Raw genomic sequence first — 24946 nt, forward strand, 5'->3', positions numbered from 1 at the left:
AGATGGAGTCTCTGTTGCCCAGGCTGAAGTGCAGTGGCATGATCTCGGCTCACTGCAACCTCCACCTCCCAGGTTCAAGCGATTCTCCTGCCTCAGCCTCCTGAGTGTCTGGGATTGCAGGCACCCGCCACCACTCCCGGCTAATTTTTGTATTTTTAGTAGAGACAGGGTTTCACCATGTTGGCCAGGCTGGTCCCGAACTCCTGACCTCAAGTGATCTGCCTGCCTTGGCCTCCCAAACTGCTGGGATTACAGGCGTGAGCCACCGTGCCTGGACTTATGCATATGATTTTTAAAACAAAAATAAGATCTTACTATGCTTACTGATATTTTTGACTCAACTGTCTTGGACAACTTTTCACATCAACAGAGATATTCTATTCCCACATTATCCATGGTTGAATAGTATTCTATTGGGAGGATGCATCCCCATCAGACATTTGTTTGTTCGTTTGTTTTAGAAACTGGGTCTCACCCTGTTTCCCAGGCTGGAGTGCAGTGACGTGATCGTAGCTCACAGCATCCTTGAATCCCTGGGCTTGAGCGATCCTCCTGCCTCAGCCTCCTGAGTAGCTGGCACTATAGGCACAAGCCACCGCACCTGACCCCCTATCAGACATTTGTTACTTCTAAATGTGGTTGACATAAACAAAGGTGGACAAGAACAATCTTCCTGAAACATGGCTGGCCACAGCACTTGGTATCTCCCTTTTGCTTGAAACCCACTGATAGCTCTCCATTACCCACAGGGCCAAGCCTAAATTCCAAACCTTGGCATTCCAAACCTTGGCCTGTCCCTGGACCTCTGCTCTCTGCCCAGCTCCTCTTCTACAGTCAGACAGTTTGACCCACCGGGTCATCTCAGGTCCTGTCCATTCATACACCTGGGTCTTGGCTTGGGCTCTGTCCCCAGCCTGATAGCGCCCGTCTTCCCCTGCTGCTTGGCCCCATCAAGGACTGACTTCCTTGGAACTCCATCCCTCAGCGGTCAAGTCCTCTCTTTTTCATTATCCCCGGGGCGTAGTCTTATCTTTCTGCTCTCTTTCCATGGATACATTTTCACTTCCCAACAATGCTGGGACAAGTGACCATACTGCTTATGCCTCCAGGGTTCAGATGGCACATTGCACACGCAGACACTTCCTTGGTCAAGGTTTGTTGATGATGAGCAAAATGGCTTGTTCTCTTTCTACCTGGAATGAGAATGGAGATGGAGAGAGGCATCTCTGTGTTCTACTCACTGGGGGGCTGTGACCCCAGTGCCTGGATCTCAGCTTGTTAATGGCTGTTGAAGCCATAAGACCCATGGGGACAGTAAAGTAATGCCCACAAGCCTGCTCCCCTAGAGACAGGTACTACGGAGCAAAGGAGGAGGTGGGAATGGTCTTTCTGGTTCTTACTCCAGGACTGGCAGGAAGGGGAGCTGACATGGAGAGTGGGGGAAGGGCTACTCGGGGTGCTAAGCCCAGCTTCCTGTCTGGATTTTCCTTGACTGCTGCCGGGGGCCTATCTTAGGATGGTCACAGCTGCAGAAATAGATCTCCCCCTTCACCTGTTCTTAAGCAAGGAAGACCTTGCTAACTTCCTGTCAAAAGAACGCGTGCTTTGGTAACTTTTCCAGTACGGGAGACAGTACTGGGGACGCGGGTGCTGAAGTCACCACGATTTTCCTCGTCTGAGGAGCAGTGGCTCACCTTGGCCAGGAAACAGGGCAAATAGCCGCAAGGAGAGAGGCGAGAAGCCGGCCACGTGTTTCCAGCCAGAGTCCTCAGCCTCTTCCGTGAATTCGGGCGGTGTTTCCTTCCTTGGTCTGCTCCAGAAACCACTCTTTCCTGGCAGGAAGCCCCTCTCTCTGTCAGAGTGACAGGGAACAGACCCTTTGTCCTCCTCACTCGTCTGCCCTAGCCCCCAGCCTGCTCCTGCAAAAGTCTCTGTTTCTCCTGAACTTTTCAGCTGAGTCAATCGGGCTCTGGGACCCCGAAACCAAGCCTCCCCAGTCACTCGCTTATTCACTCAACAAACACACCCCCCTTCCCCGCACTAACCCAGGCCCAGTTCTGGGAACCAGCAAGGGGAGGGGAGGGGAGCCCCGAGCAGCGCGGCGGGAGGTGGACATGCCGGGGAGGAGACTGGCCTCCTGGTGGCGGGGGAGGGCTCCTGGGGACCCCAAGTCCGCGGAGGAGGAGACAGGAGGGAGCAGGGAGATGGAAGACCCAGGAGCACGGGCGGGCTCCGCGCATGCGTGGGAAGAGACCTTGGCGTCCTCGGCGTCGCCAAGGCAACCGGCGCCAGCCATGGCCTCTGGGGCGGGCGGAAGCTGGGGTCGCTCCCCACCGCAGAGCGCAGTCCCGACGGTGAGGGCTGAGCCCGGGAGCAGATCCTGCCTTAGCTTGGGAGACGGCAGAGTGGGGAGCTGTCCCTGGAGGGGCCAGATCCTGGAGGGGTGGGGGACGAGGAGAGACAGCCCCAAACCGAGAGGAAGAGGCGTGGCAGGGAGCAGGGAGGCCGCGGGGCGGGGAGGAGAGAACCTGGCCCCTGCGGGGTTAGGGAGGCCACTGGCCGGGGGGGTTGGGGCTCGCGACGTGTCCCCATCCATTCCCCCCACCCCACCTGGCTGACTCCGCGCACACCCCCAGCCCTGGGTCACCTTCCTGCAGCCCCTCTCGTGGGCCGTCCCACCTGCGCCCCCGCAGCCAGGCCGCGTGAAGGAAGGTGAGACTCCCGGGTCCCCCCACCCCACCCCCACCATCACCACCACTCACCCTCTTCTGCCTCGCACATCCTCTGGGAGTCCCCGCAGCACAACCCGCCAACCCATTCTTCACCCCCGGGACAGGGGTGTCAGGGGGAGGGGGACTCGGAGGCCCGGCGTGGGCTTGCTGAACCCCGCTTCCTAGACCTGCTGGAACTGATGATGCTGCAGAACGCGCAGATGCACCAGCTGCTGCTGAGTCGCCTGGTGGCTGGAGCGCTGCAGCCCCGGCCTGCCTCGCCCTGCCCTCAGGTGCGTGTGGGTGGGCCGCCGGGGTCGCTCACCTGTGGGTCCAGGGATGCGGATCCACCTGGGGTTCCTGTTCAGGGGGGAAAAGAACTGGGAGACAGAGGAGCAGGAAGCCAGCCCGTCTCTCTGGCTGGGGCTGTTTGGCATCTGTCATGTTTCAGCCTCCATGAAAGGTTGGGGCGGGGAAGAGACCCCCCAAAGTCCAGACCACCGAGGTCTTGTTTTCAAGGAGGTTTCCCTGTAGTGCCTCCCCCACTGGACTTAAGGCTCCAGGAAGGTAGGCACCCTGGTAACCCTGCCCCATGCATCATGAGCGTCTGGCCTGGTGCCTGACACCGTGTAGGGGCTCAGCTGATATTTGTTGAACGAGTGAATGAATAAATGAATGGTTAGGGATACAAAGCCAGGTTGGCTGTGATGGCACATGGAGAGGTACAAAGCACAAGTGCACATAGGGTTGGGGGATGGGGACAGGCTCCTTGGAGGAGCAGAGGATCTTAGAACCAGCCCTTGAAAGCCAGGTAGGATTTTGACCCTTGGAGGAGGCGAAGGGTGTGTCCCCCATCCAGGCTGGCAGGGGCAGAGTCAGGAGACAGAATGGGGGAAACCGTGTGCGGCAGTGTGTGTGTGCAAGAGTGTGTGTGTGTATGTGTGTGCAAGTGGGTGTCTGTGTGCATGCGTGTGTGTGTGCAAGGCTGTGTACATGCATATGTGTGTGCAAGTGTGTGTTCACGTGCGTGTGCAAGGGTGTGCGTGCACGTGTGTGCGAGCGGGTTGTGAAGGCAAGTGTGTGCGTGCAAGCAAGTGTGTGCGTGCAAGCAAGTGTGTGCAAGTGGGGGTGTGTGCAAGCGTGTGTGTGCATGCATGTGCATATAGCTCTAAGGCTGAGCCTTACTCAGCCAATAGTGGGCATCCTGAGGTCAGGAGAAGCAGGGACTGGGTGGAGAGAGAATGTTGTTCAGCTCGGAGGAGGCGGAGAGGGGTTCAAGGAATCCAGACAGAAGGAGACCCTGAGGAGCTACTGCCACCCCTCACCCCTGGGTCCTCAGTGATGACACATAGGTGGGTCCAGGGGCCGGGGGTGAGGCCGGGGACAGCTCAGTGGACTCCTGGCCCCAGCTCTGGGGGTCACACCTGGAATCAACTGGGTGGCCAAGTTGCTCAACGTCCTTGAGCTACAGGAGTAAATGTCTCCACAATTTGTTGTCCGCATGTAGTAAACGCTCAATAAACACAACCCATTCTTTTTTTCTTTTCTTTTCTTTTTCTTTTTTTTGAGACGGAGTCTCTCTCTGTCACCTAGGCTGGAGTATAGTGATGCAATCTCGGCACACTGCAACTTCCACCTCCTGGGTTCAAACAACTCTCCTGCCCCAGCCTCCCGAGTAGCTGGGACCACAGGCGCCTGCCACCACACCCGGCTACTTTTTTGTGTTTTTAGTAGAGACGGGGTTTCACTATGTTAGCCAGGATGGTCTCGATCTCCTGACCTTGTGATCCGTCCGCCTCAGCCTCCCAAAGTGCCGGGATTACAGGCATGAGCCACCGCGCCCCGCCTACACAAGCCATTCTTTTTTTTTTTTTCCTTTTTTTTCTTTTGAGATGGAGTCTCGCTCTGCCGCCCAGGCTGGAGTGCAGTAGCTCGATCTCTGCTCACTGCAAGCTCCGCCTCCCGGGTTCACGCCATTCTCCTGCCTCAGCCTCCTGAGTAGCTGGGACTACAGGCGCCCACCACCATGCCCAGCTAATTTTTTTTTTTTTTTTTTTGGTATTTTTAGTAGAGACGGGGTTTCACCGTGTTAGCCAGGATGGTCTCAATCTCCTGACCTTGTGATCCGCCCGCCTCGGCCTCCCACAGTGCTGGGATTACAGGCGTGAGCCACCATGCCTGGCCACAAGCCATTCTTACAAAGCCTATCTGGAGGAAATAACTTAGGGGAATGGAGGAGTGGCGGTGGGGAGAGCCTGATGGTAGATTCTCATTTCCCCTCCCTGTTTTGCACAATCCCCAGGTCTACCTGGAGGTTCCACAGGAAGAGCCTGAGGAGGAGGAGGAGGAGATGGACGTGCGGGAGAAAGGGCCTTTGGTGTTTCACCACCACTACTTGCCCTATTTGATGCCCTCCCCGGGTGCCCTGCTGCCCTGGCCAGCCCCCTTCTTCCCCACCCCTGCTTGTCAGCCCTACTTGCAGGACGTGCCCAGGATTCAGCACTGTCCTGCCTCCAGGGAAAGGGAGGTGTAAGTGAGGCTGGGTGCTGCCAGGGTTCTGCTCTGGGCTGGAAGTTGCAGAAGAGCTGTGCAGGGGCTGGTGGTCGGTGGAGATAACTTGTGGGTGAAACTCCAGAGGCCACCCCTGGGCCTCTGATGGGGGTCTTTTTCTTTCCCCCATCTCAGGAGAGCTGTGCCCCCACCCCCACCCCCCAGTGCCACAGGGACTGTGGGTGCTGATGTACCCCCGGCTTCAGGTAGGGCTGGGGTGGTGGGCAGCGGGGCCCAGGCCTGGGAGTGAATCAGGAGGCCAGGAGGGCCCTGTGCCCTCTGGTGGGGTTTGGGGGTTTCCTAACATCACTGCTGCAGGCAACTGGCCTGTCCCCTTCCCTTTACCTCTTTGGGGTCCACTGAGACAGGAGGGAGTCAAGATGAGGTTCTTGTTTCCCCAGACTACTATGATGCCGAGAGCCTCCTATGAGGACAGACCCCGGCCCTGGGAACTGCACCAGCTTCCTGCTCTGGATACAGCCCCGGAGCCGCCTCCTGCACCTCTCTTGTCGACTCCCCGGTGCCCATGGCTGGCAGTCCTTCTCACTCCCTCAACCTCAGCCAGGCCCTCTTCTCCTGGGGAAATCAGTCCCTGCCCCACGCCAATGAGTTCCTGGACGGGCCGGATCTGTGCTGTTGTGTAAGAGCTCCCTAGAGCACCACCCAGGCCCTTGAAGCCACGTCAGCCCGCCTCTGCCCCACTGCTTCCTGCCTGGAGCAGGGGGAGGCCTGGGAACAGAGCCCCCACCCTCTCTCCCTCACCCCTCTCTCTGGGATGATGAGGTCTCCTTCCAGCCTAGTAATGGAGCAAGAGGGGAGGGGGGGATTCCTTCTGCTTTCCACAGCTTTGAAGGCCCCTTTGAGGTGGCTGGAGGGGCCCAGAGTGGTCGGGGAGAGACTTTGCTGGGCAGCGCCCCTGAGCAGAGTCAGTTCGCTGGGCCCCCCACCCCTCATCCCAGGAAGCAGCTCTGTTGGCAGAAAGGAGAGGTCAGAGCTTTGTCCTGCTGTGGCCAGGAGTGGCCTGAGGTCTCCTGGGGCCAGGTGGGAACAGTGTGTCCTCTGCCCCCTGGGCCAGGGTGTGTTTCCCCCACCCTCCCTCAGTAGCAATGAGCTACTCGGGCCAGATGGGGGCCTGTTGCATGGGCTGGGAGGCCCCTGTGAAGGAGAGGGTGGGGAGGGAGGCATCTAGGGAGAGGGGTCCCCCATGGTGGCTCCCCTCCCTGGCCATTGTTATCCCAGGAGGAGACACTGTGGGCACAGGGCTAAGTCCAGGTGTTTGTATTCGGGCTAGAAAAGGCAATGTCCCAAGTCTCTGCTGCCTGTCACAGTCCTTCAGCCAGGGCTGGACCTCAACCCTGAGGAGTCACACTGAGTTCCAGTGACCACCGTGGTGGTGGCCATGCCACTCATGGTTGCTATGGCCGGAAGGCCTGGGGCAGCCTCCTCCAAGCCGCTCGCACCCCGTAGGTGCCCATCCGCTGCTGGCGCAAGTGCTGGCCGAAGATGAAGCAGAGCAGGACAGATGTCACGAACAGGGACAGCAACACCGACACCACCGTGACTATGATGACCATCTGGCTGTCCGACACAGGCTCTGGGGAGGGAGGGGGCAAGGGTCTTAGACGTCCTGTGATCCCAGTTACCAGGGACCAAAAGGGAGTGGAAGTCCACCCCCAACCCAGACCCCCAGACCCCGCCGCCCGCTCATGCATCCAGCAGTCACCCCAGTTGCAGAGATGAGTGGTGAATGGTGTCTGCATTAAAATTATTATCTGGAAAAAAGGTGGCCCAGGGCTCAGGCTACCAGCTGGACTTCTGTGTGGCTGTGAGGGCAGATGTCCCCTTGTCAGCAGCCATGGGACCAGTGTGTAGCTGCTGGACACCGTGGCCTGGAGGGTGGCATGGTCCCAGCCAAGCCCCTTCTTGGGCAGAGCTGAGTGAACTTCATGCCAGGCTCCCTGTGTGCCGGCCGTCCAGGGTCACCAAGCAGCAGAGCTCTGGGGACCTCAGTGGGGGCAGTCAGGCCAAACTTCTCATTGTGGAGGGGAGCCAAGGCCAGGGAGAGCCGTCAAGGTCATGGGGCTTGATGGTGGCCGAGGAACTAGTTGACCTCTCCCGACCTCTGGAGCAGTTGAGGTCCAAGCTGGGGACTTGGAAAGAACTTCAGGGAAGAGGGAGAGTAAGAGGGAAGCCTCAGGATGAAGGGTGGGCTCCTGGGTGTTTGCTTCCCAAGTGGGACTCAAGATTTTTCTTCCCCCGAGGGGCTGAAAGTGACTTATCACTCCCAACTCCATCCACGGATCCCCCCTCACCATAGATCTCCAACATCTTCGGGGCTGAGTGTTTGTGAAAGATGTTGCCACCGCGAGACATCAAGTCCAGCACAGCCAGGCAGGAGAAGTTGCGGTGGCCATCCTCTCTGTCAGCCGTGCTGTTGAATGTGGCTGTGGCCTCCTGCGGAGCAGGGGCTGCCTTCCCGAAGGTCTCATAGTGCAGAGTCTCATTGCCACGGAACAGGAAGAGGGTGAGGCTGTCCAGGGGCTCCACGGTGGGCACCCTGCACTCAATGGTGAAGGACTTGCCCACAGCCACCAAAGTGGGTTGCAGTGTCAGGATGACCTGCCTTGGAGGCTCTGCAGGGGACAAAGGAGGGAGGTCTGGTCAGGATGGGGGTGCAGTCCCAGCAGCCTCCCCCTGGCCAGGGCCATCTCCTGTCACCATGGTGTTCCACGGTTGGGGAGGAGGTGGCCTGGCCGGCTCCAGTGCAGAGAGGAAGAGGGCAGCAGTTGAGGATGGAGGCTGGACTGTGTGGTAGTTTTACAGACATGATGGTTTCCGGTGACCAGGTGTCTACAAGGACAAGGTTCAGAAATTGTACAGCCAACTGGAAAGATATAAAAGTTTGGGTCTGTCTCCTCTCCTTCAGAAATGAAATATAAATTTCAAACATTAAACAGTTGGGTGATCACGTTGAGAGAGACTTAGATGGGCATTGCTCACTGGAACTGGGCACTGGAGGAACTGAGCTGTGAAGTTCATCACTTAGGAGGCAGAGGCCAGAGCCAGACCTGCCCAGGTTCTCCAGGGTCAGGGCCATGGCCACCACGATTCCTCACGTATTCAACCACCCGAGGGGGTGCCCTGGATTCTCTTTTGAATTAGAATACTTCACTTCCACTCACCCCACCTCCCACCCCGAGAAAATATGTTGGATTTAAGATGTTTTTCTGTTCATTGATCCACTGAAACTGGTGATGGAATGGACCCAGGTGATACCCTTAGCGCCAAGATGTCCTATCCCAGCCCATCTGGAAGGTTTTCATGGCTCATGTGCAGGTGGAGTGTGATGGCCACACATTTGCTGTGGGCCCTGAGGGGAAGATAAAAACCCTGGGCGACACTTCAACCTTCTTGCCATGAGATGGACAGGCTCAGCTCCCCTGATGGTGACCCCACTACTTGGCATGGGACATGGGGTGCTCTGGTGACTCAGCTATGTTGGGAAATGACTTCTGGATTTGGCTAAATGTTGGTTAGATTGTCCTCCCCTAAGCAAGACTCAAAATGTGGGTTGTCTGCGTCTTGAGATGCCAGCGGGCTCAAGGCATCCAACCAAGGGCTGGCCTGGTCCTGCCCCTTGTCACCCCAGGAGCTCAGGGAGGCAGGGCCCCACGATGACAGTGCCCAGGAGCAGGCACAGAGGGGCTCTGTGTGCATTCAGTAGACACAGCCTCTGTCCCAGGGGAGAGGAGGGCCCCGCAGCACAGCCACTCACGGTACACGCTGACGTTGGAATTCATTGACTCCTGCTTCCCGGAGCAGGTGAAGTGGCATTGGAGGACCGTGTCATGGGAGATGTTTGAGACCAAGTAATGTTTCCACTGAGCCTGTTCGTCCAGCAGAATCTTATCTAGAGAGGTCTCCAGACCACCCACTTCAGGCTGGTTACAGGTGGTGCTGCAGTTGACCTCGAGGGACCCTTTGGGCTCAACCGCCAGCTTCTTTGGCCTCACGTGTACCTCGAATACCTTCTCATCCGATCCTGGAAAACCAGAAACACTGGGCAGTCGTGTCATCCCCCCACCCCCTGCCCTCCAGTGGAGCTGTCCATTGAGGCAGTCTGGCTCCTGGGTCAGGGACTGAAGAGGAAAGGTCATTGGGGACCCCGCTGCTACTTTCCCCTTGTCAGGTGTCATGGCCCCGGCTAGACCAGGAGGCCACCCCCCAGCTGGCTCCCTGCCTCTGGCTGTCCTTCCTCCAGCCCCCTAGCTGACACCCTGCCTCTGGCTCTCCTTCCTCCAGCCCATCTGCCCATCAGCTCCAGATTAGTCTTCCTCAGGCTGTGCTCCAACTCCATGGAGTGGGATCCGACTCAGTCTTTAAGGTCAGCCCAAATGTCCCCTCCCCCATAAAGCCCTCCCACAGAGGGCCCTCTGTAGCCCTCCCTCCCTTCCTTTCTTGCACAAACACTTTTTGAACACCTGCTATGTCCAAAGCATCAGGCTCTGGGGATACAGCAGTGATCACAGTAGACCAAACACTGCCCTGGCGGAGCTCCAGTAAACAGTGACAGGCAGAGCACCCAGCGGTCAGATGGCAGGAAAGCGCCGAGAAAGGGAGCAGGGAGTGGGGGTGAGGCCACTTTAAATACTGTGCTCAATGAAGGCCTCACCCAGATGGTGACTCTGTGGGCAAAGGCATGCAGGGGCGTGGCACGCCCTGCAGATACTTGGGGGCAGTGATCCAGGGGAAGGGGGCCAGCAGTGCAAAGGCTGGGGCAGGAGGATTGTTGAGCCCAGGAGTTGGAGGCTGCAGTGAGCTATGATCACACCCTGCACTCCAGCCTGGGCAACAGAACAGGAACCTGCCTATAATAAAAATAAAAAATTTAAAAAGCTTCAGCAGGCTGGGCATGGTGGCTCATGCCTGTAATCCCAGCACTTTGGGAGACCAAGGCGGGTGGATCACTTGAGTCCAGGAGTTCGAGACCAGCCCCTGCCATCTCTACAAAAAATACAAAAATTAGCTGGGCATGGTGGCTCTCACCTGTGATCCCAGCTACTCAGGAGGCTGAGGTGGGAGGATCACCCGAGCCCAGGGAGGTGCAGTGAGCCATGATCATGCCACTGTACTCCAGCCTGGGTGATAGACCGAGACCCTGTCTTAAAACAAAACAAAAAAACCTAAGAACCTCAGCAACTTTTGGGACTTCTCTTCCACCTGAAGCCACAGGGAACAGGGCACCCCCACCCTCTCGGCTGGCATGTGCCAAATCAGGAACCCCAGGAAACTGGCTTACCTGGACAGCAGATCAGGGTGAAGAGGGCCACAGTCAGGGTCCTGTAACCGAAAGAGGACATCTCTGGCAGTCTCCACGGGCTCGCAGGGACCAGCCAAGGGCTGCCTGGAGGGAGATGGTGGGCGCAGGTCTGAGCTATGGCCCAGAATCCCTAGCCTTCTGCAAACTGATGACTGCATTTCCTCTCATTATCTGAGAGATCTTTGGGAAGCCACGTGCACCAGCTCGTTCTAGGACCCCAGGCCTCTAAGAATCCAGGCAGAGGAAGCTGGGAAGCTGCTGATAAGCAGGGCATAACCCAGTCCTCCCTGCTGACTCCCTGTGCAAGGGGCGGGGCAGGCAATGGGTGCACGCATGCGTGTATGAGACGTGTGCACAGGGGAGAGTCAGGCCTACAAGCCCCAGATCTGGGGAACCCCAAATCCCATGGGATGCATTGTTGGAGTCATGCCTGGGAGACAAGCATCCAAAGGCCAGGACCTGTCCAGGACTTGCAGTTACCATAGCAAAAGGGGACAGTGACTTGGGCTTTTCTAAGGAAGCCTGGAGGGCAATTTGAGCTTCTCCTGCTAAATGCCTGGTGCAATTCTGCATAAACCTTCACATCCCACTCAGTTTTCTTTTCTTTTTCTTTTTCTTTTTTTTTTTGAGATGGAGTCTCACTCTTGTCGCCCAGGCTGGAGTGCTGTGGCACAATTTTTGGTTCACTGCAACCTCTGCCTCCCAGATTCAAGCAATTCTCCTGCCTCAGCCTCCAGAGTAGCTGACATTACAGGATCGCGTCACCACACCCAGCTAATTTTGTATTTTTAATAGAGATGGGGTTTCACCATGTTGTCTAGGCTGGTCTTGAACTCCTGACCTCAGGTGATCTGCCTGCCTTGGCCTCCCAAAGTGCTGGGATTACAGGCCTGAGCCACCGCACCTGGCCCTCACTCAGTTTTCAACCTAGACTTGATCTTGACTCAGCTGATTCAGGGCCAACTTGAGGCCCAGAGCCTCAGGAAATGCATCCCATAATAGTCCCCAGCAACCCAGGCACAGACAGAGAATGGGGTCAGTCTGGCTGCAGCCACACCCCCAAACCATGGCCTTCATTTCCTGGCCTACCTGATGTCCTCCATCCTCTCTCTCCCTCCAGGAGGGAGCCTTGGGTTGGGAGGGTTGGAGCCTGAGGTGTTTCACTTTATTCCTAGGGAGGAATCCGCAGAAGCAGTGAGCAGGTAAGGGAGGGATTTCAATGGACGAGAGGACCTTCCTGGGGGATCGCCACACAGTCTCATCCCTCAGTTCTGCCTAAGATCCCTTTTGCAACCAGGCAGGGAAAGAGCAGGACTTCTTGCTTTCTCAGGGGAACCCCTGATGGGGCCTTTCCAAAGGGATGCCCCAGAATCCTCAGGACTTTGGCCAAGCTCCATTCCGGGTTGGGAGGGCAGGGTGAGGTCCTGCCCTTCCCTCACTGCTGAGGGCAAAGGCGGTTACTACTGTACACAACCATCAAGGGCTGCCATTGTCAGCCTGGACCCAGGGAAGTCCCTGGACGGGGTTGCTGGACTTGGGAATGATGCAGGGAGGAAGAGGCAGGGCCTGGGGCCAGCAGAGAAAAGGAGAACAGGGTGGAGTTTCACCCCCAGCCTGAAGGAATCTGATTTCATGTGGGGCCAGCAAAGTCCTGAGAGCAGGAAACACTCCTGAAACCCAAGCCAGGGGCTGGGACAGAAGGGTGGGGATGGGGACATTGCTGTAGTGGAGACTCTGTGTCCTCCACTGAGTCAGAATAATAATAACAATAACAACATCAATAATAATAATAGTAAACATTTACTTACTACAAGTCGGGCACTGTCACAAGCACTCTATAAATATTAACCAATTAATCCCCTAACTCTCTGAGGCAGGTACTGTTACTGTCTCCATCTCACAGATGGGAAAACTGAGGCACGTCAAGGTTAAATGACTTGTTCAAGATCACATACCTAGAAAAAATGAAGTCACCATGAATGATAGCCTGCCATGGTGACTGTTGAAGCCCGCCCGAGCAGGCGCAAGAAGAGGATTGTTAGGAGCCTGGTTCCCAGGAGACCCTCAAGAGGGAAAAGCAACATAGCAGAAGGCCAGAGGAAGGTTCTGGGGCCTGCCTCACTGTGAGGGACTGTGGGAAGGTGGGGTGATCCATGCCTGGAGTGCTCCAAACAGCTTCTGGAAGGGACAGTGCTTGGGAATCCCACCTGCATACACAGCAGGGCCAGCCTGATTCCCTCTTCAAGCAAGGCTTCTGCAGCCCAACGTCCTCCCCGAAAGCACAGGCCCCAGTTCCTACCCCCCATCTCCTCCTGTGATGTCTCCCATCCTTCCTGGGCAGGCCCTGCTTGGCTGGGACACACCGGGCATGTGACCATCTATTTGTTAGAAATAGTTACTGTATTCTAACCGTTGACACATCAACCTTCCTGCCTCCCCACTGGCCCATCAACAGTGAGGGCAGAAGCTGAATCTCATGTACTGCTACATCCACCCAGTGTAGGACACTGCCTGGCACACAGTAGGTGCTTCATCATTGTTGAATTGGTAGATGGATGGGTGCATGCATGGATTAGTGAATGAATGAGAGAGTTTGTCCTAAACAAGCCTGGGCGAAGGCTGTTTTTAGTTTTAGGTCCTAAGCATTTACTGTTTTTTTTTTTTTTGTCCAGCATCTTCCTCCTGCTACTGCTAAAGTCTCTGCTTCCCAAGTCCACAAGGCTGACCTTATAATGTAAACAAGGCCAATCATGGTACCTTACTCCTTGAGGATGGGCACTTTGAGTTAGGCCTGCACAAAGGTTTTCTTTTTTTGAGATGGAGTCTCGCTCTGTCACCCAGGCTGGAGTGCAGTGATGCAATCTCAGCTCACTGCAACGTCCGCCTCCTGGGTTCAAGTGATTCTCCTGCCTCAGCCTCCTGAGTAGCTAGGATTACAGGTGCCCACCACCTTGCATACAGAGAGTTACTGTGGGGCTTGCCCTACAAAATGTCCACGACAGGAAAAGAGCTTGCAGCACACTCAACATTAATCATTAGGTCAGCATGCTCTCGACCTGCTTCCTCATAGTTGCTCGGTGCCTATTGCCCCAGAATTATGCAGACTCTGTCATAGGATTAGAGTTCCCTTAACTGCTCTAAAGGTAACAGCTTGAACATTATAAAATGTTAAGTTTTCCCTTTGAGATATTCTTTCAGGTCCTGCATACCAGTGAAAGTACTCATGCAGGCTGGTCTGAAGGACCCCACTGATGCCAGCCAGTCTGCAGGACCCAATTGATGCCAGCTGGCCTGAAGGACCCCAAGAGGAGCTGACTCACAAAAGAATGCAGTTTCCATATTCCAGTGATTTTATCCCCTTACCTCGACCAGTCATTGACCCCAGTTTACCAGCCTCTTGCCCTCCACAATGTCCTCTAAAATCCCAGCCCAGAACTCTTTGGGGAGATGGATTTGACGGTCTCCCCGATCTCCTCATTTGGCACCCCGGGATCATTAAACTTTTTCTCTGCAGGAAACCCTGCTGTGTCAGTGTAATTGGCCTGTTGCTGCACAGCAGTGGGCCTACACACCTGTTGGTCCTGTAACACAGGAATAAGAGGAAACTGACCATGATGTAGAAGAGAGAAGAAACTCGGGGTCCTTCCTGGAAAATTGTTTTCACCATGAAATGTCTCCTGTTTTGCTCTCTGGATCCCTAAGTTTCTCAAGGAAGGGGGCTATAAAACTGGAGGAGTTAAGATAGTTCTGGAAAACGTGAGAGAATTTTTGAGGGGAGGGGAGATTAGAGTCTCAGTTTAGAAAGTGAACTCATCTCTCCCACAGAGCTTTGGAAGGATTATGCTCTGACAGGGTCCTAATCCAGTGACTTTCCTCTCTTGTTTGAAAGAAAAAAAAAAAAAACTATTAGAATTGTGTACCCAGCAAAACCATCTTTCAAGAACCAAAGTTAACAAAAACAGATAAACAAAAAGTTTATCCCCCAAAATACCTAAATGAGCATTTACAAATGTGCTTCAGTAAGAAGAAAAAATGATTACAGAACAGTTTGCTATGCAAAGAAGGGCAAGAAAATAAAATGGCAAATGAGTACACAACTCCAAACAAATATTGTTTACAATAATGGTAATATTAATCATTATAATGTTTATTTTGAGAAGTTTTAGAAGTTCAAAACTAAAATACTGGGTAAGAATATATAAGGAAGGATTGGAGTTAAAGCATTCTAAGGTTCTAACTTGGAATTTTTAGGAGGGAGGACACATTTTAAGTTATATAAGGAATGGGAGAAAATATTTGCAAGCCATACATGCAGTAAGGGGCTAATATCCAAAATATATAAGAAACTCAAACAACTCAATAGCAAGAAAAAAAAACACAATTTTAAAATGGGCACAGACCAGCCCAATGTCTCTTGGACTTTATTTAATGCCATATAATGTTGTCAGAATAAAGAGAAAGATGAAAAAAATAAACAAAAATGGGCAAAGGACCTGAGCAGACATTTCTCAAAAGAAGACATACAAATGGGCCAGGCGTGGTGGCTTACACCCATAATCCCAGCACTTTGGAAGGCCGAGGTGGGTGGATCATGAAGTCAGGAGATGGAGACCATCCTGGCTAACACGGTGAAACCCTGTCTCTACTAAAAACACAAAAAAGTAGCTGGGCGTAGTGGCACACGCCTGTAGTCTCAGCTCCTCGGGAGGCTGAGGCAGGAGAATTGCTTGAACCTGGGAGGCAGAGGTTGCGGTGAGCCGAGATCGCGCCACTGCACTTCAGCCTGGGTGACAGAGCGAGACTCCATCTCAAAAAAAGAGGACATACAAATGGCCAAGAGGTATATTAAGGAGTGCCCACCATCACTAATTATTAAGGAAATGCAAATTAAACCCACAATGAGATATCACTTCACACCTGTTAGAATGGCTATTTTCAAAAAGACAAGAGATAAGTGTTGATGACAGCTGGGCATGATGGCTCATGTCTGTAATCCTAATACTTTGGGAGGCTGAGGCAGGAGGATCCCTTGAACCCAGGAGTTTGAGATCAGCCTGGGCAACACAGGGAGACCCTGTCTCTAAAAAAACAATAATAATACTTTTTAAAAAGAGATACGTGTTGATGAGAATGTAGAGAAAAAGGAATGCTTACATGCAGTTAGGAAGAATGTGAATTAGTACAGCTGTTATGGAAAATAGAATGGAGGCTCCTCAAAAAATTAAAAGTAGAACTACAGAGGATCTAGCAATCCCACTACTGGGTATATATCCAAATGAAATGAAACCAGCATGTCAAAGAGATATCTGCACTCCCATGTTCATTGCAGCATTATTCACAATAGACAAGATATAGAATCAAACTAAGTGCCCAACAGTGGATGAATGGATAAAGAAAATCTGATACATATATACAGTGGAATACTATTCAGCCTTAAAAAGAAGGAAATCCTGTCATTTTTGACAACACGAACAAACCTGGAGGACAATATGTTAAGTGAAATAAGACAGGCATAGAAAGGCAAATACTGGCCAGGTATGGTGGCTCACACTTGTAATCCCAGCACTTTGGGAGGTTGAGGCAGGAGGATTGATTGAACCCAGGAGTTTGAAACCAGCCTGGACAACATAGTGAGACCCTGTGTCTATTATTTTAAAAATTTTAGGCTGGGCAAGGTGGCTCATGCCTGTAATCCCAGCACTTTGGGAGGCTGAGGCGGGTGGATCACTTGAGGTCAGGAGTTCGAGACCAGCCTGGACAACATGGTGGAACCCCATTTCTACTAAATATATATAAAAATTGGCCGGGCATAGTGGTGTGTATCTGTAATCCTAGCTACTCGGGTGGCTGAAGCAGGAGAATTGCTTGAACCCGGGAGGTGGAGGTTGCTGTGAGCTGAGATTGTGCCACTGCACTCCAGCTTGGGTAACACAGCAAAATTCTGTTTCAAAAGAAAAAAAAATTATTAAAATGTTTACACAACATTTAAAAAGGCAAAACTTGGGTTTGCTGCACACCAAGTACTGTTGAATCCACGTGAATGAAGGGATGTGGAACACTGTATTAGATGTTCTAAATAATCTAGAGGTAGTTTAAAGTATACAGGAGGATGTGTGTAGGTTATACGAAAATGCTATGCAATTTTATATTAGGGACTTGAGCATCCTCAAATTTTGGTATCTGTTGGGAGGGTTCTGAAACCAATCCCTCCATGTATACTGAATAGTGACTCTACAATTTTTGTCAAATATTAAAAGAACATGTAAAATTTCAAGGAAAACCAGTAGAGATAAAGTATATAAATTCTAAACCACTAGAGAGGCTTAAAATTGTATAAAAACAATCCAAACAATCCTTAGTTAAAAAAAATTAAGAAGAAAGCTGAGTGTGGTGGCTTATGCTGGTAATCCCAGCACTTTGGGAGGCTGGGGCGAGTGGATTACCTGAGGTCAGGAGTTCGAGACCAGCGTGGCCAACATGGTGAAACCACTCTCTACTAAAAATACAAAAATTAGCTGGACATGGTGGCGTGTGCCTGTGGTCTCAGCTACTCAGGAGGCTGAGGCATGAGAATTGCCTGAACATGGGAGGCAGAGCTTGCAGTGAGTTGAGATCGCACCACTGCACTCTAGCCTGGGCAACAGAGTCTCACTCTGTCTCAAGAAATAAAAAAATACAAAAACAAATACAAATACAAAAATTAGCCAGGTGTGGTGATGTGTGCCTGTAGTCTCAGCTACTTGGGAGGCTGAGGTGGGAGGATTGTTTGAACCCAGGAGGTGGAGGTTGCAGTGAGCCAAGATCGTGCCACTGCACTCCAGCCTGGGTGATAGGGTGAGTTCCTATCTCAAAAAAGAAAAAAAAAATACTAAAACACAAAGCTCAGCTCTATGTTGTTTGTTGTTTACAAGAGACATACTTCATGCATAAGGATATGGAATTGGTTGAAAGTCAAAGGATGAAAAAGATATACTAGGCAAACACCAAAAGAAAGCTTGGAAAGCTATATTTATATCAGACAAAAATGAATTTAAAGACAAAAACATTTATTAGGGATAGAGTGAGTACCTAGAATAAAGGGTCAATTCACCAGGAAGTTACAATAGTTCTAAACTTCTATATAGAAGTTTCTATATAGAACTATATACTTCTATATATACTCTTTATAGTTCTATATACTCCCATATAGAACTATAAAGAGGTAAAACCACCATCACAACAGGAAATTTTAACATATGTCTCTTACTTATGAGTAATGATGCGGACAGAAAAAAAAATCAGTGGTGTAAATGCTTGAACTGCATCTATAAAGTAGAGAATACAAATTCTTCAAGAAGATGAGTTTTAAAACGCTTATATATTTGACAGTTTAAAAACATAATCTAATGCATTGGTCAAAGAAGAAATCATAATGACACATTTATAAATTCCTAAAATTGAATGATAATGAAAATATCATGTTAAAATTTCTGCGAGGCGCAAAAGTTGTGCTTGGAGGGAAATCTATAGCCTAGAATGCTTGTATTAGAAAAGAACTCTGGGCCAGATGCAGTGGCTCATGCCTGTAATTCCAGCACTTTGGGAGGCCAAGGCAGGAGGATTGCCCCTGCCCAGGAATTTGAGACAGGCCTGGGCAACATGGTAAGATCACATCTGAAAGAAGGAAGGAAGGAAGGAAGGAAAGAAAGAAAGAAAGAAAGAAAGAAAGAAAGAAAGAAAGAAAGAAAGGAAGGAAGGAAGGAAGGAAGGAAGGAAGAGAAAGAGAAAGAAAGGAAGGAAGGAAGGAAGAGAGAGAGAGAGAAGGAGAGAGAGAGGGGAAGGAAGGAAGGAAGAAAGAAAGAAAGGAAGGAAGGAAGGGAGAGAGAGAGAAAGAAAGAAAGAGAGAGAGAAAGGAAGGAAGGAAGAAAGAAAGAGAGAGAGAAAGGAAGGAAGGAAGGAAGAAAGAAAGAAAGGGAGGGAGGGAGGGAGAGAGAGAGAAAGAAAGAAAGAGAGAGAGAGAAAGAAAGGAAGAAAGAGAGAAAGAAAGAAAGGAAGGAAGGAAGGAAGGAAGGAAGGAAGGAAGGAAGGAAGGAAGAAAGAAAGAAAGAAAGAAAGAAAGAAAGAAAGAAAGAAAGAAAAAGAAAGAAGGAAAATAAGTCTGATGGCCAGGCATGGTGACTCATGCCTATAATCCTAGCACTTTGGGAGGCCAAGGCGGAAGGATCACCTGAGCTCAGGGGTTTGAGACCAGCCTGGGCAACATAGTGCGATATTATCTCTCTATTAAAATAAAAAATATTACAAAAAAACCCTTCCCTACAAAACTCAATAGGATAGGCAAGTCTCCAGTGAAATCGATATATAAAGAAAAAGAAGGCATGCGTAAACATGATTAGGAATGTAAATGGAAACGTAAACATGAGAAGAAAGAAAACTATACAAATTTATAGAAACAGAAAGTGAAACAGTAGTTGCCAGGGGCTGTGGGAGAGGGGAAATGAGAGTCCTTTAAATGGATTTAGTTCTGGTTTTGCAAGATGGAAAAATTTCTGGAGATGGGTTGCAAAACAATGAGAACATACTTAGCATTAATTGCTGAAGTGTACACTTAAAAATGGTTAATTTGGTACATTTTATGTTATGTGTATTTTACCACAATGAAAAATAAAGAAGACTATAAAAAAGTTATGCTACAACATAGGAATTGAAGTAGATCAAGTCTTAGACAAATATAACTTACCAAACTTATTTAAGAAGAAATAAAAAGCCTAAATGGTTCTATAACTATTAAAGAAATTGAATCAGGGCCGGGCATAGTGGCTCACAGGTAATTCCAAGAAAGTGCTTACGGCTAATCCCAGCACTTTGGAAGGCTGAGGTGGGAAGATCCCTTAAGCCCAAGAGTTTGAGACCAGCATGGGCAACATGACAAAACCCCATCTCTACAAAAAATACAAAAACTAGCCAGGCGTGGTGGTGCACGCCTGTAGTCACAACTACTTGGGAGGTGGAGTTAGGGGGATGGCTTGAGCCTGGGAGGTTGAGGCTGCAGTAAACCGAGATTACGCCACTGTACTCTAGCCTAGGTAACAAAGTGAGACCATGTCTCCAAGAAAAAAATAAAAGAAAACAAAAAAACTTGAATCCGTAATTTAAAGATCTTCCCATGAAGAAAATACCAGGTCTAGATGGTTTTGCAGAAGTTCAAGTAAGGGTAACTCTTTAAAAAAAATTATTATTATTATTTTTTTTAGAAATGGAGTTTTGCTGTATTGCCCAGGCTAGTCTCAAACTCTTGGGCTCAAGAGATCTTCCTGCCTTAGTCTCTTGAGTAACTGGGACTATAGGCATACAGCACTGTGCCTGGTTAGTAATTCTAATTTTATAAAAACTCTCTCTGAGAATGGAAAAAATGAAAACATTAACTCTTTCCATGAGGCCAGTGTAACCTTAATATCTAAACAAGACAAGTACAGGAAGAGAAAGCAATATTAGAGGCCAGTTTCACTCATGACTATAAATGCAACAGTTATAAGAAAAATACTGGTAAATCAAATCCGGCAGTGTAAAAACCAAAAGGCATCACATTCTAGTTGGGTTTATCTCAGGTTTGCAAGGATGGTTTAACAACGAAGAAATGTCTATAAACATTATTTATTATGTTGGTAATAGTAGACTTTGGTGCTCTGTGTCATATCACTTCTGCCCTCTGCTGATTTCAGCTGTCCCTACAGTGGATGATTTTGTGCAAGCCTAGACTCCCTTTTAAGCTGCCAGTGCCCCTCCACCTACCCCCAAACTTATACTATGCTTCTTTTTGCTTTTCGTCTCAGGGTCTTCTTCAATGCTTTAGGAACAATTTACTTGCCAGCTAGTGATTCCCAGAAGTGTGGGAGAGTTAAGGTCCCTAGAATGCGATCCTTACCCAGTTGGGGAACAGGAGCCAGTGGATATACTTTCCAGCCTCCTTCTTGCCAGTGGGCAATTCTGAGAGACATCCTGTAGTTTTATCAGAGGTCTCAGCAGAATAAGCTTCCGTCGCCTACAGCTGCAACATCAGTCACCCTCCTTTAAATGGGCTTTTCCTTCCTTCCTGTCTGTTTTCCCTGCTCCTTCACCCCCTGCTTCCTGGAATCACCTCTCAAATAACCTATCTGAATCTAAGTCCTTGCTCCAGCCTCTGCTTTGGAACAAAGGATTCTGCTTTAGAGCAAAAGGAGACCAAACTAAAACTTACATTAACAGATTTAAAAAGAAAAAACATACGATAATATCAACAGATTAAAAAAATTGACAACATTCAACACCCTTTTATGATACAAGCTCTTAGCAAATTAGAAGCAAATGTCCTTAACCTGATAAAGAAAACTTACATAAAACTTCTATGTTGTTTTTAATGAGTAAATCTTAGGAGAATTTCCTTTAAAATCAGGAAGAGACAAAGATGCCTATGATTTCTGCCTCTGTTTAATATTGTACCAAAGGTCTTACACATTGCAGTAAAAGGAAAGGAAGGAAGGAAGGAAAGGCGATCAAAACCATCGGTATTTGTATATGGCGTGACTACCCAGGTAGAAAATCCAAAAGAATCATCAGGCAAGTGACTCAAAGTAATAAGAGATTTTAGCAAGGCAACTAGCTAAAAGATCAATATTCAAAAATTGGTTGTTCTTGTGTGTATCAGTAACATACAAAAACATAATTTAAAAAATACATCAATTATAACAGTCAAAAAAGTAGAGCAAGAAAACTAACAAAACCTAGAACTATAAGACCTATAGTAAGAAAATTATAATACTTTATTGAAAAATATTAAAGACAATCTAAATAAATGGAGAGATAACACATGTTCATGGATAGGAAATTCAATATTATAAAGATGTAAATTATTCTGTAACTGATCTATAGGGTCAGTGCAATTCCAATTAACCCCAGTAGGGTTTTTCATGGAAACTGAAAGCTGATTTTAAGGTTTATATGGAAGAACAAAAGAACCAAGACGCCCCTAAAGGAAATGAATAAGGTGAGGGATTTGCTCTGCTAGATATTAAGACTTTCTGTAAAATATGGTGTTAGCGTAGGTATAGGCAAATTAACTGATGAAACAGAATAAAGAGCCCAGAAATACACCTATGCTTGTTTGAAACTTTGATGCATGACAAAGATGACATAGAAGATCACTGGGTAAGAGAAGAGCCTGTTAAATGACACAGGATCAATTGATTAACCATATAGAGAAAAAAAGGGGAAAATGTATCCCTATCTCACACCAAATATAGAAATCAATTCCATTTAGATTAAGGATTTATATGTGAAAGAAACTCTTTATAAGAAAATGTAGGAGAGTATTTCCATATCCTTGGGGCAAGACCTCGAAATTGTCAATCATAAAATCAACAATTGGTATCTTTGACTAAGATACAAAGAAACAGGTCGGGTGCGGCTGTGACGCCAGCACTTTGGGAGGCCGAGGCGGGCTGATCACGCGGTCAGAAGATCGAGACCATCCTGGCCAACATGGTGAAACCCCATCGCTACTGAAAATACAAAAAAATTAGCCAGGCATGGTGGCGGGCACCTGTAGTCCCAGCTACTCGGGAGGCTGAGGCAGGAGAATGGCGTGAACCTAGGAGGCGGAGCTTGCAGTGAGCTGAGATCGCGACACTGCATTCCAGCCTGGGTGACAGAGTGAGACTCTATCTCAAAAAAAAAAAAAAAAAAAAAAAAGACACAAAGAAACATTTCAAAGAAAAGGAAACATGTCTAAACAAGTGAAAAGATTATTTAGCTCGAGTAGCCAGGGAAATTAAAATTAAAATTACAATGGGACCGATACTATTTTATATGTATTAGGTTGGCAAAAGTTAAGAAATATGACAAGACCAATTGTTGGAGAGGCCGTAGGTTAATAGGCACCCTTCTAACTGCTGATGAGAGTGTATATTGGTGCTCTCAGAGATAATTAGGCATTATCTTGTAAACGGAATATTCTTATACCCTGTAACTCACAGTTCCATTCTTAGATGTATGCCCTAGAAACGCTGTCACACTAAGAACCAGACATGTCTTTGTGTTTACTTCTCTTTTTTTTTTTTTTTTTTTTTTTTTTGAGACGGGGTCTCGTTGTGTCGCCCAGGCTGGAGTGCAGTGGCGCGATCTTGGCTTACTGCAACCTCCACCTCCCGGGTTCGAGCTATTCTCCTGCCTCAGTCTCCCGAATAGCTGAAACTACAGGCGTACGCCACCACACCCAGCTAATTTTTGTATTTTTAGTAGAGATGGGGTTTCATCTTGTTGGCCAGGACCGTCTCTATCTCTTGACCTCATGATCCTCCTGCCTTGGCCTCCCAAAGTGCTGGGATTACAGGCATGAGCCACTGCTCCCGGCCTTACTTCTCACTATCTGTGTGACCTTGAGCAAATCACTTAATCTTTCTGTGCCTCAATTTCCTCATCTGCAAAAAGGAATCAATAATAGTATCTTCCTCATAGGGTTTTTGTGCAGATTAAACAAATAAAATAAGTAAATATTTTAAAGCATTTAGAACAGTGCCTAGCACACAGTAACGCTATATAACTGTTTCATAAAATAAAAATAAATAGGCATAGCCAGGTGCAGCAGTTCAAGACTGTAGTCCCAACTAATCAGGAGGCTGAGGTGGGAAGATCACTGGATCCCAGGAGTTCGAGGTTGTAGTGTGCTATGATCATGCCTGTGAATAGCCACTGCACTCCAGCCTGGGAAATATAGTGTGACCCCATCTCAGTAAATAAATAAATAAATAAATAAATAGAGATGCATATGTAATAAAGCACTTAAAAATAAGAGAACAATAAACACAAAATTCCAGAGGGTGGCTACCTGTGGGTGGGAGGCAAGTAGCATAAAAGTGGACAAGTGGTGGCCAGGTGTGGTGGCTCACGCCTGTAATCCCAGCATTTTGGGAGGCCGAGGTGGGCGGATCATGAGGTCAAGAGATCGAGACTCTCCTGGCCAACATAGTGAAACCCTGTCGCTACCAAAAACACAAAAATTAGCTGGGCATGGTGGCATGCGCACCTGTAGTCCCAGCTACTTGGGAGGCTGAGACAAGAGAATCGCTTGAACCCAGCAGGCGAAGGTTGTGGTGAGCCAAGATTGTGCCACTGCACTCCAGCCTGGGCGACAAGAATGAAAACTCTGTCTCAAAAAAAAAAAAAAAAAAAAAAAGCAGATAAGTGGTGTTTGCAGTTTGGTGATACTCCATCCTTGTGCTGAGTGGCAGCTTCAGGTGTGTTTGGTATATTACTGTGCAGTATGATGTATATGTATGTTACATAAGCTTTTTATGCGTTACCTAGTAAATTTTACAAAAATAATAAAAGGGAAAAAGGGCCTTTCTACGTGCCTAGAAAGAAGAGGCTTCATGGGAATGTGAGCCATGGGTTAGGAAAGACCCCCTCGAACCGAGGCAGGTAGGAAGTGAGTGACTGAGATTCATTATGAACCCACCACGCCTGCCGGGGAGAACAGGGACTGTCCCTTCCCCTCTGCATCAGCTCAGATGGTCCAGATCACAGCCCACGTGGGCCCCTAAATAAGGAGGCAGCCCCACATTTCTACATCGGCCACCGAGATGGCAGAGCAGAGGAAGGAGAGAGGGGAGACAAATCAGGAAAGGAGCGCCAGGGCAAGTGCGTGAGCTCAGAGACCCAGCAGGGCAGGGCAGGAGCTTCACAGAGTGCAGAATGTCGAGCCACAGGAGCGCTGGGGATTCCCCAACCCCTGCACTTACCAGCGAGAAACTGAGACCCAGAGAGGGGAACGGACTAAAACTCAGACCTCGACACTGCCAAAATCCTTCCCATGCTGCCACGCTTCATTGGAGGGAAAGTGAGAAGCTCAACCTTACCCCTGTGGGCTCCAAGAAGGGTAGCTCTGGGATCCCGGGCAGGAAATTGGTGACAAGGTGACAAGGTGCGCGTGTCACAGCTGCCCAGTTCACGGCTTATTCAGTCTTCTCCCTCCCCCCACTCCCCACCAGAAGTGACGTGCTTCCTGTGCCCCGGTTCCCACCCTAAACTAGCCTCATTTAGCTCCACTCCCATTCCGCTTTTTTTTTTTTTAATTGTGGTAAAACGTACACAACAGAATTTACCATTTCAATTTTTTTTTTTTTTTTAGACTGAGTCTCAGTCACCCAGGCTGGAGTGCAGTGGTGTGATCTCGGCTCACTGCAACCTCTGCCTCCCGAGTTCACGTGATTCTTGTGCCTCAGCCCGCAGAGTAACCGGGACCACAGGCACCTGCCACCACGCCTGGCTAATTTTTGTATTTTTAGTAGAGACAGGGTTTCACCATGTTGGCCAGGCTGGTCTCGAACTCCTGACCTCAAGTGAACTGCCT

At 49.5% G+C, this 24946-nt stretch overlaps 2 protein-coding genes and 1 long non-coding RNA gene across 14 annotated transcripts, besides 6 other annotated features; 1 reads left to right on the forward strand and 2 right to left on the reverse strand.

Annotated features, from left to right (window-relative positions):
* On the reverse strand, window positions 1–3829 carry PRR29-AS1 (PRR29 antisense RNA 1). Its single transcript, NR_126169.1, has 3 exons — window positions 2255–3829; window positions 1695–1852; window positions 1–1193 (listed from the first exon to the last, which is right to left on the reverse strand). It is a non-coding gene; the product is annotated as a PRR29 antisense RNA 1 (long non-coding RNA).
* Window positions 2164–2213: a silencer, noted in NCBI's record as "silent region_8836". NCBI's record gives its function as "represses an Ori minimal core promoter by ATAC-STARR-seq in GM12878 lymphoblastoid cells {active_cell/tissue: GM12878}" and the evidence as "EXISTENCE:reporter gene assay evidence [ECO:0000049][PMID:35858748]".
* PRR29 (proline rich 29) lies at window positions 2281–8235 on the forward strand. Of its 8 annotated transcripts, none has more exons than NM_001164257.2 (6): window positions 2281–2354; window positions 2637–2712; window positions 2898–3004; window positions 5014–5240; window positions 5397–5467; window positions 5663–8235. In NM_001164257.2, exons 1-6 carry the CDS (start codon window positions 2295–2297, stop codon window positions 5689–5691), a joined length of 570 nt encoding a protein of 189 aa, NP_001157729.1. In that variant the 5' UTR covers window positions 2281–2294; the 3' UTR covers window positions 5692–8235. The 8 variants fall into 8 exon arrangements, with proteins under 8 accessions (NP_001157729.1, NP_001177959.1, NP_001177958.1 ...); NM_001191030.2 differs by having other exon boundaries at window positions 2658–2712; NM_001191029.2 differs by lacking the exon at window positions 5397–5467 and having other exon boundaries at window positions 5014–5238.
* Window positions 2467–3444: an enhancer, noted in NCBI's record as "H3K4me1 hESC enhancer chr17:62075897-62076874 (GRCh37/hg19 assembly coordinates)". NCBI's record gives its function as "activates a minimal SCP1, AML or CMV promoter by ChIP-STARR-seq in naive H9 embryonic stem cells {active_cell/tissue: H9 hESC(naive)}" and the evidence as "EXISTENCE:reporter gene assay evidence [ECO:0000049][PMID:30033119]".
* ICAM2 (intercellular adhesion molecule 2) lies at window positions 6525–24563 on the reverse strand. Of its 5 annotated transcripts, none has more exons than NM_001099788.2 (6): window positions 24453–24563; window positions 11671–11752; window positions 10561–10665; window positions 9037–9303; window positions 7574–7894; window positions 6525–6855 (listed from the first exon to the last, which is right to left on the reverse strand). In NM_001099788.2, the coding sequence occupies exons 3-6, from the start codon at window positions 10619–10621 to the stop codon at window positions 6677–6679; spliced, it is 828 nt and encodes a 275-aa protein (NP_001093258.1). In that variant the 5' UTR covers window positions 10622–10665; window positions 11671–11752; window positions 24453–24563; the 3' UTR covers window positions 6525–6676. The 5 variants fall into 5 exon arrangements, with proteins under 5 accessions (NP_001093258.1, NP_001093256.1, NP_001093259.1 ...); NM_001099786.2 differs by having other exon boundaries at window positions 24336–24563; NM_001099789.2 differs by lacking the exon at window positions 11671–11752.
* Window positions 9856–10550: an enhancer, noted in NCBI's record as "H3K4me1 hESC enhancer chr17:62083286-62083980 (GRCh37/hg19 assembly coordinates)". NCBI's record gives its function as "activates a minimal SCP1, AML or CMV promoter by ChIP-STARR-seq in primed H9 embryonic stem cells {active_cell/tissue: H9 hESC(primed)}" and the evidence as "EXISTENCE:reporter gene assay evidence [ECO:0000049][PMID:30033119]".
* Window positions 24183–24302: an enhancer, noted in NCBI's record as "active region_12571". NCBI's record gives its function as "activates an Ori minimal core promoter by ATAC-STARR-seq in GM12878 lymphoblastoid cells {active_cell/tissue: GM12878}" and the evidence as "EXISTENCE:reporter gene assay evidence [ECO:0000049][PMID:35858748]".
* Window positions 24397–24897: an enhancer, noted in NCBI's record as "H3K4me1 hESC enhancer chr17:62097827-62098327 (GRCh37/hg19 assembly coordinates)". NCBI's record gives its function as "activates a minimal SCP1, AML or CMV promoter by ChIP-STARR-seq in primed H9 embryonic stem cells {active_cell/tissue: H9 hESC(primed)}" and the evidence as "EXISTENCE:reporter gene assay evidence [ECO:0000049][PMID:30033119]".
* Window positions 24643–24732: an enhancer, noted in NCBI's record as "active region_12572". NCBI's record gives its function as "activates an Ori minimal core promoter by ATAC-STARR-seq in GM12878 lymphoblastoid cells {active_cell/tissue: GM12878}" and the evidence as "EXISTENCE:reporter gene assay evidence [ECO:0000049][PMID:35858748]".

Source organism: Homo sapiens, chromosome 17, assembly GCF_000001405.40.
Source record: "Homo sapiens chromosome 17, GRCh38.p14 Primary Assembly".
NCBI classification, from domain to species: Eukaryota; Metazoa; Chordata; class Mammalia; order Primates; family Hominidae; genus Homo; species Homo sapiens.